Source organism: Homo sapiens, chromosome 8 (assembly GCF_000001405.40).
Source record: "Homo sapiens chromosome 8, GRCh38.p14 Primary Assembly".
Lineage (NCBI taxonomy): Eukaryota > Metazoa > Chordata > Mammalia > Primates > Hominidae > Homo > Homo sapiens.
The window spans coordinates 104,729,447-104,738,486 of NC_000008.11; the positions used below are offsets into that span (position 1 = coordinate 104,729,447).

Here is a 9,040-nt window from a genome sequence, read left to right on the forward strand (position 1 = left end):
AAGCAAATGCGGGTGCAATACGTACTGTGTGTACGGATGAACACCTAGGCTGAGGTGAGCAATGCCAGCTCTTTTGTTCATCTTGGAGCCAATTTGTGGTGCAGATATAAAGGGTGGCTCTGTTAAGTACAAGCACATTGTGACACTTCAGGGGAGATTTTCTGTTACCAGTTAATTATCACTTACATTTGTCAGGAAGGGAAAAAGTGCCTCTCACATTTTATTTTAAAATATGAAAATCTTGGAGAATTTTGAGGGCAATTTGCTGTTCTTTCACTTCCACGGGCAGCCCAGAGTCAGGCCTGAAATGTGGTGGCATAAGGCCTGTCAGTGGGGCCCCTGAGGAGTCCTACAGTGGATGGCTGTAGGACCGGTGCTTTCACAGTTAACAGAATGCAAATAATGCAGTGAGGGCCTGAGAAGGGAAGAGAAGGGATGGAAATGAAAGATGGACCTCAAAGCAATTCACTAGAGGGGATTTGAACCTGGAAGCGTTGGCAATGCTAAGTCAATGAAGCCAGATACAAAAGACCACATTGTACGATTCCATTTACAGGAAATATCCAGAATAGGCAAATCCACAGAGACAGAAGACAGGTTAGTAGTTGCCAGGAGATGGAGGTTGGAGTGGGGAGGATAAGAAGTTGCTGCTTAATGGCTACAGGTTTCCTTCTAGGGTGATAAAACCTTCTGGAACTAGATAATGGTGATGGTTGCAGAACATTGCAAATGTACTAAATGTCACGAATGGAAATTTTTTATGTTAAGAGTATTGCAGTAAAATTAAAACACGTGTGTGCACATGTGCATACACAAATCATAGGTTCATTAATACAAATTTCAATCTCTAATGTGCTTCCAGCATACCTAATTAGTTCTCATCCAGATTGTACCTAAATATATATTTTCACTATGAAAAAATTTCCATTTCAAAAGTAAACCTCTTTCATTTTTTAGGAAGCCCTAAATGTAGAAACTCATTATTAAAGTGAAATATGGATATATGTGAGAGAGAGAGAGAGAGAGAGAGAGAGAGAGAGAAGGATTGCCAGGTGATCAGGTTGAAAAGAGTATCAGGTATCTCAGGTATCAATATCATCTCATACTGATATTTTTGCTGTAAGAAATGGTGCAGTTCTGGGCAAGAGGCAACAGTCTTGCAAAGAATGGCTGTGTAATATTATGCTCTAATCTGATGCAGGCTTGCTGCCTTTTCTTGAATAGAGTTTTTTTTTGTTAAAAGTCTTGTGTGGGTTACAGAAGTTATGCCTCAGAGTATTCCAGAATTTGGCTGTAGATTATTCAAAATCGGGCCTTAGTGAGGCTCTGACATAGATTGGACAGAAATCTAAAGAAAATTTTCACAATTTTCTATTCAATAATAATTCTATTCAATAATACTACTATGCCCATTTTCTTTAAGTGAGAAAATATGTTCCTACTTGAAAAAATGCATGAGTAAAACCATATTTACCAGAAACATTATATATTTTATAAGCAGGTATACAGTAAAATGTCTTCAAATCATAAAGCTCCCAAGTGCTTTGATTTGATTTATGAAATATCACTCATTCACATTTCCTAAAACATGTCTATTGTATAAGCCCATATAATAGACATTTCCCTTTCTGTACTATAACCCAAATAGCACATGCATAGTTTGATATTAGGAAGATTAATAGTTCAGAAATTATTGTACATTGTGATGTAATGAACAGTGAAAAGATCAATAGGAAAAAGTAACTGGCTCCCCGTAAGCAGAGCTGGGGGTAGTTTATGTGAGGAAAGGCTGCAGCAGCTTCTCTTGACTTCTGACTCACTCAGGCCATGGTACCCCAGTTCCTCATCATCATGCACCAGCTTGCTTCTGTGCTTCTCACAGCTCCTCTGGAGTGTCATGAGTAATTAGGGCTCCATTCCACAGGGGTGTTGAAGAGCTCTGTGGTGACACACAAAAAAGATGTGAATTTTGTCCCTGGGAACTAGCAATGTTTTATATGTTCAAAGCCCTGCTTTTAGACTGTTCTCAGCATCAGAACATTTGAACAATGCCTTATCTTTTATCATCATTGTAGCGGAAAAATACTAGCCTGAGGATGTGGGCTGTGAAAAGCTGTCTTTTTCAAATACTAAAGGTAGGCAGAGCCTGCCTACCTTTAGTATTTGGTAATGACGGTAGATGCTTTCTGCAACCCGTACTCAGATCTGACTCAATGTGGGGAGAAACTAGAAATACCAGGACATCTCTGGAAAAATGTAAGAGCAGCGAAGGAGAAGCCAAGAGGAAAGGAAGCTTTGTTTCAGACCTGAGGAGAGGGAGATGTAACCAGGTTAAGATACAAAGGATGTGAAAAATATGCATCTTTTTTCAGAAAGTGGTGAAGACTGGGGAGAGGAGGACCCACGCAAAGCTTCTATTCATTGAAGCTTTGAGACCTGTGATTTTCTCTAAATGTGGGAGGGGCAGGCAGCTTGAGATGAAGGAGACACGGAGAACACAGTGTGATGCTGAAAACTTTCCCTCTCTGTCTCCTCCCTTCCTGTGGATTTATGAGGCAGGCAGGCAAATCGGTGTGCAAACAATAGGTTTGCTGGAATAACAGCTGGGTAAATGGCAAATTATGTAATTTTGCAGGCGCACACAGATCTGCAGTTGCGCAGAAGTGAAATTATATGAGGTGAAGGGCTCCGCTATGCCAGCTCTGGGGCTGAGTGTTCTGTGCTGGGGAAGGGTTTTATTTGGAGCCTGTCTTACAGCCTGCAGTTCTGTGCTGCGCCATCCCAAGCACGGAGGTGGTGTTTACTCACTCGTGTGAAGAGGACATTTTAACTCTCCATCTTCCCCTCCAGTGTGCAGTATCGATTTTCTGCTATAAGGAGACAGAAAACCTTTCTTCAGAGTATCTTTGGAGGCAGAGTTGGCTGTGGATCTGGTTTTGTGAGAAAAGGCCTGAATCCAGGGAACGCACAATCTTGTTCTCAGTCTCAAATTGTGTTTGTGCAGTTTACTAGTCATAACAAGTTCATGTTTGACTGTTAGTTGTTCAAGAAAAATCCAACAGACTGAAGCTGTTTCATTACTTGATTAGTCTAAAGAAGTCTGGATAATTAGCCTGCTAATTAATATCTATGTCTATTGTGTGGTTTGAGCTGACATATTTTGAAGGTGGAGCCAGTTCAAAAATGTAGAAATAATTACTCTATAAAACTGGGCATGAGGCATCTTTTCATGGGATTTTACCTTGAATATGCAAATGCTTTCTCTTTTGAAATGTGATTTGCAAAAACGAGAAACATTTGAAAATTCTCCAATCTGGACCAGTTTTTTACAGGAGTTTATAGAAACCCTGATCCTGCCTTGCAGGCATAAAAGGCTTACTAGCAGCATCTTGTAAAAGAAAAAAAAAATTAACAGAGCTATCCCTTGCTCTAAAAAATCCTCCGTATATAATATGCTGAATTTGTAGTCTTGATAAAGCAGAGAGTTAGTCTTTTATTACTTTGAAATTAAGTACTCAGGTTCATTGGCTCCCCATTGTTTATCAAGTTAAGTATGGATTTCCAAGCCTAGTTTTCAAAAGGCCTTGAACACATACAACTCAACATCTACAGGTCCAATGTGAGATGGCAACTTAGTTTTATTAGACATAAATACCATAAAATACAATCCTCAAACATAGGAGAAATTCCTGATATTATTTCTCTCAAAGTGAGAGGAAAAGACAGGATATTTGAGGCAAAGAGGTACTGGTTTGTCAAGGCACTGATTTATTTAAGATCTATTTCCTGAGAAGTAACCGAGGAAGTATCATACATGGTAATCAAACTGAAAATCTGCCTTTATGAAGTTATTGGTGGCTTCTAGTACTAGAGGTTGAAGCCTTAATATATTTTGGAGCTCACCTCTTTGTTTGGAAATAACCAACTTTGGTGGTATCTTTTAGTGATGTAGAAGTGAGGCAAATAAGAAAGGTTCTTGGTGGAAGAGAACTGGCACTTTTCTGTTTGAGGTTCCATGTTCTATAACATATTTGATGGATTAAAGTGATCGTGATTGAAGACAGCTGTTTATAAATGAAGACCTCAAGAGGAAACTCACTTTAAGGAGAAGGGCAGTCTAGAGTGGTGGCCAGGGCCAGCAGCGTCATTAGAAGAAGACACAGGGTGTGGGTGGCATGAGAACACCTCTTGGCAGACAATGGATTATGGTTTTGAGGCTCTGACTGACAATGGTGTGCTATGAGAGATCGATTCCAGCCCTTCCCTGTACCCCAGGAGGTACTGCCACAGCAGCAGGTTCCTTACCACCAGAGCGTGACTGGGAGAGAGCAGAGGCTGCTCAGGATCGCTGGAGTACCTGGTTAAGAGCCTGTTTTCACAGAGACCCCATGATGCAGAGAATGGAGCATTTCAGAAGATAGGCACCATTTCCAAGCCCGCTGGAATTCTTGACTTATTCTGTGGCCTAGGGGTTGGGTAAGGGGTGCGGGTGTGTCTTTGTATCGAGGAAAGACATACATAATTGAGATAAGTGGAATTGGTTAATTTTAAAACAAAATTAAATGTGACCTAATTATGTGCTCCATGAAACAGAACCAATGCATCTATCTATCCATCAATCAATCGATGGAGAGAGTTAGTTAAAGGAAAGGAATTAGCTCACATGACTGTTGGGGCTAAGAAGTCCCAAATCTGTAGGGCAGGCTAGCAGACTGGAACGCAGGCAGGATTTCTATGTTACAATTTTGAGGCAGAATTTCTTCTTCCCTGGGAAATCTCAGTTTTTGCTCTTATGGCCTTTAGTTGATTGGCTGAGGCCTACCTGCATAATGAAGAGTGATCTGCTTTAATTAAATGTAACTGATTGTAAATGTTAACTATATCTAAAAAATGTTAATTATGTCTGCCTTCACAGTAACATCTAAACTAGTATTTAACCAAACAGCTGGGCATCCAAAGCCTAGCCAATTTGACATAGAAAATTAACCATACTGTGTCCGGGCGTGGTGGCTCATGCCTGTAATCCCAGCACTTTGGGAGGCTGAGGTGGGTGGATCACCTGAGGTCAAGAGTTCGAGACCAGCCTGACCAACATGGAGAAACCCCATCTCTACTAAAAATACAAAATTAGCTGGGCATGGTGGTGCATGCCTGTAATCCCAGCTACTCAGGAGGCTGAGGCAGGAGAATCACTTGAACCTGGGAGGTGGCGGTTGCGGTGAGCCGAGATTGCGCCATTGCACTCAGCCTGGATGACAAGAGCGAACTCCATCTCAAAAAAAAAAAAAAAAAAAAGAAATCATACTGGGGAGACAGGGCAGTCTGGTTATATAATGTAAGAACTTACAACTTAGTAATGGAATAACACATTTATCACAAAATCTAGGGTACATAGTAGTATGTGGTATGTGTCATAAAAGGGGTTCGAACAGGAGATATAGGGGTGTTAGAGGATTGGGAGTTCACCTACACCTCAGGTGACCATGACAAAGACATTTCAGATAGAAGAGAAGGCCAGAACAGTTTCAGAGGAAAGTCTTAGTGGAAAGCATTGAATTGGGAACAGCACAACATGAGACAGATAGGGAAGCAGTAGAGGACTGGAAACACACTGGAAATTGGGAATTAAATGGAAGTGAGGGGGAATTATTGAGGTTTCTCAGCACAGGAATGACATAAATACACTGGTGCTGCTGATTGTGTATGGGACGGGTGGATGCACAACCATTTCTGAAAGTGGTAGAAACAAAAAAGTAATTTGATTGATTGGCAGTAGAATAAGAAACTTTAGAAATCTGTCCAGAGTGACATACACTTCTTGTTGCCCATTCTGTCTTCTGTGATCCTGTAACCCCTGAAAGATTAAAACATGAGAAAGTTGTATAAATAGAGGGGTGTGTGTGTGTGTGTGTGTGAGTGAGTGAAGGATATGGACAGGGTTGATTTGCATTTTTGAAGAGTGACATAGATACTCAGATGGAGTATCTATGAGAGGGAGCAGGAAGAGCAGTTCAGAATAGAGGTCAAAGATGAGAAACGAAACGCGGGAGTTCAGGTGAGGGAGAGCATTCACATGGGGGTGCTCAGGGAAGACAGTGCAGGAAGTTTCCTTTGATGTGGACCTGGAAGGATGAGGAAAACTTCAAAAGGTAGAAGATAGGGTGAGAGTATTTGAACAAAGACATGGTAAAATATACATACAATGTGTTCTGGCCAAGACATTGGGTTTGTGGAGGGGACCGGCAGGAGAATAGGCTTGGAAAGGTGTCCTAGAGATAAATGGCAGACAAGGGAATGCATGTAATTTGATAAGCAATTGTAGGAGGTGAGGGGTGTCATTGAAGGTTTGATTATTGAATAGGGTAGCAATGTTATTAGAATTGTGCTCCAGGAAGACTAATATAATAGAGGTGTTCTGGATAGCTTTGAGAGAGAGTGATGCAGGATAAATATTAGGAAAGTTAATAGCTATTATCAGCGAAGGGTAGAAATCAGGGCTGAAGCTGTGGCAATTGAATTGAGGGGTCATATTTTAAAGATACTATATAAGTGAAATCTATAGGATGTGACAATTAATTTGGGGTAGAGTGAATAGGAGTGGGAGGGATAAATGGAGATGTTAATGTTTCCAGACAGCGTGCCTGAAAGAGTAGGAATAATATTAACAGGACAGAAAATTCAGGAAGAGAAATGGCTATAATTTTATCTTTAGACATTTTCGATTAAATATGCTGGTGAGATGATCTGGTAAAATATTTTTAGAACCTAGTTGAAAACATGGTCTGGTAGTTAGGAAAGAGATCAGGATTAGAAATACATCAGTCATGCATTGCTTAATGATGGGGATACATTGAAAAATGCATCATTTGATGATTTTGTCATTGTGCAAACATCACAGTGAACTTAACCAAACCTATATGGTACAGCCTACTATACACCTATGCTATATGGTGTAACCGACTGTCAGAGGCATGTGAACTAGAGCAACTCCATCTTAAATAGGAGCTGGGTAAAATGAGGCTGAAACCTACTGGGCTGCATTCCCAGATGGTTAAGGCATTCTAAAGTAACAGGATGAGACAGGAGGTCAGCACAAAATACAGGTCATAAAGACCTTGCTGATAAAACAGTTTGCAGTAAAGGACAAAACCTACCAAAACCAAAATGGCCATGAAAGTAACTTCTGGTCATCCTCGCTGCTACACTCCCACCAGTGCCATGACAGTTTATGAATGCCATGGCAATGCCAGGAAGTTACCCTATATGGTCTAAAAAGGGGAGGCATGAATAATGTACCCCTTGTTTAGCATATCATCAGGAAATAACCATAAAAATGGGCAATCAGCAGCCCTTGGGGCTGCTCTGTCTATGGAGTAGCCATTCTTCTATTCCTTTACTTTCTTTTCTTTTTTTTTTGAGACAGAATCTTGCTCTGTCACCAGGCTGGAGTGCAGTGGTGCGATCTTGGCTCATTGCAACCTCTGCCTCCCAGGTTCAAGCGATTCTCCTGCCTCAGCCTCCTGAGTAGCTGGGACTACAGGCGTGGGCCACTATACCCAGCTAATTTTTGTATTTTTAGTAGAGACAGGGTTTCACCATGTTGGCCAGGATGGTCTCAATCTCTTGACCTCATGATCTGCCTGCCTCAGCCTCCCAAAGTGCTGGGATTACAGATGTGAGCCACCGTGCCTGGCATCTTTTACTTCTTAATAAGCTTGCTTTCACTTTGCACTGCAGACTTGCCTTGAATTCTTTCTTGTACGAGATCCAAGAACCCTCTCTTGGGGTCTGGATTGGGGACCCTTTCCTGTAGTATCTTTCTGTTGACCACAGAAGGGACTATAAGGAGGAAACTCCCAATCCAAATGTTAACTTTGGGTAAGTGGTGGGGTCCTGTAACATCCTCCTGGTGACCACAGAAGCGATTATGGTGCAGAAACCCTGACCCAACAGCTATCTTTGGGTAAGTGTTGGAGTCCTATACTCCAGCTGTACTGGATGGATACTGTAGGCAAGTGTAACATCATGCTAAGTATTTGTGTATCTAAACATAGAAAAGGTATAGTAAAAATACAGTATATAAAACACAAAAGTGGTATATAACGGTACACATGTATAGGGCACTTACCATGAGTGGAGATCGCAGAACTGGAAGTTGCTCTGTGTGAGGCAGTGAGTGAGTGGTGAGTGAATGTGAAGTCCTACGACATTACTATATACTACTATAAACTTTATGAATACTATACATTTAGGCTACACTAGTTTATAGAAAAATATTTTTCTTTCTTTAATAATGAACTAACCTTAGTTTACTATAACTTTTTACTTTATAAACTTTAAAAAATCTTTAAACTTTTTGACTCTTTTGTAATAACAGCTTAAAACAAAAACACATTGTATAGCCATAAAAATAGTTTTTATTTATATCCTTATTCTATACTTTTTTTCTTTTTCTTTTCTTTTATTTATTTTTTTTTTTCTTTGAGATGGAGTTTCGCTCTTGTTGCCCAGGCTGGACTGCAGTGGCGCGATCTCAGCTCACTGCAGCCGCCACCTCCCAGGTTCAAGCAATTCTCCTGCCTCAGCCTCCAAAGTAGCTGGGGTTACAGGCATGGGCCACCATGCCCGGCTAATTTTGTATTTTTAGTACAGATGGGGTTTCACCGTGTTGGTCAGGCTGGTCTTGAACTCTTGACCTCAGGTAATCTGCCCGCCTTGGCCTCTCAAAGTGCTGGGATTACAGTGTGAGCCACTGTGCCCAGCCACTTTTTTCTATTTTTAATTTTTAAAAACTTTAAAAAAGGTTTTAAACATTTTAGTTAAAAACTAGGACACAAACCTATACATTATCCTAGGCCAACATAGGGACAGGATCATCAAGATGTCACTAGGTGATAGAAATTGCCAATTTCATTATAATCTTATGGTACCACTGTGGTATATGCAGTCGTCCATCATTGACAAATGTCGTTATGCAGCACATGACTGTATATGCTTCTAATGGCTGTTTTCCTAAGTTGTGACTGGGATGAACTCATGC

At 40.8% G+C, this 9,040-nt stretch overlaps 1 annotated feature.

Annotated features, from left to right (window-relative positions):
• Nucleotides 1,726-1,926: a silencer, noted in NCBI's record as "peak7135 fragment used in MPRA reporter construct". NCBI's record gives its function as "represses an SCP1 promoter by STARR-seq MPRAs in K562 erythroleukemia cells {active_cell/tissue: K562}" and the evidence as "EXISTENCE:reporter gene assay evidence [ECO:0000049][PMID:32103011]".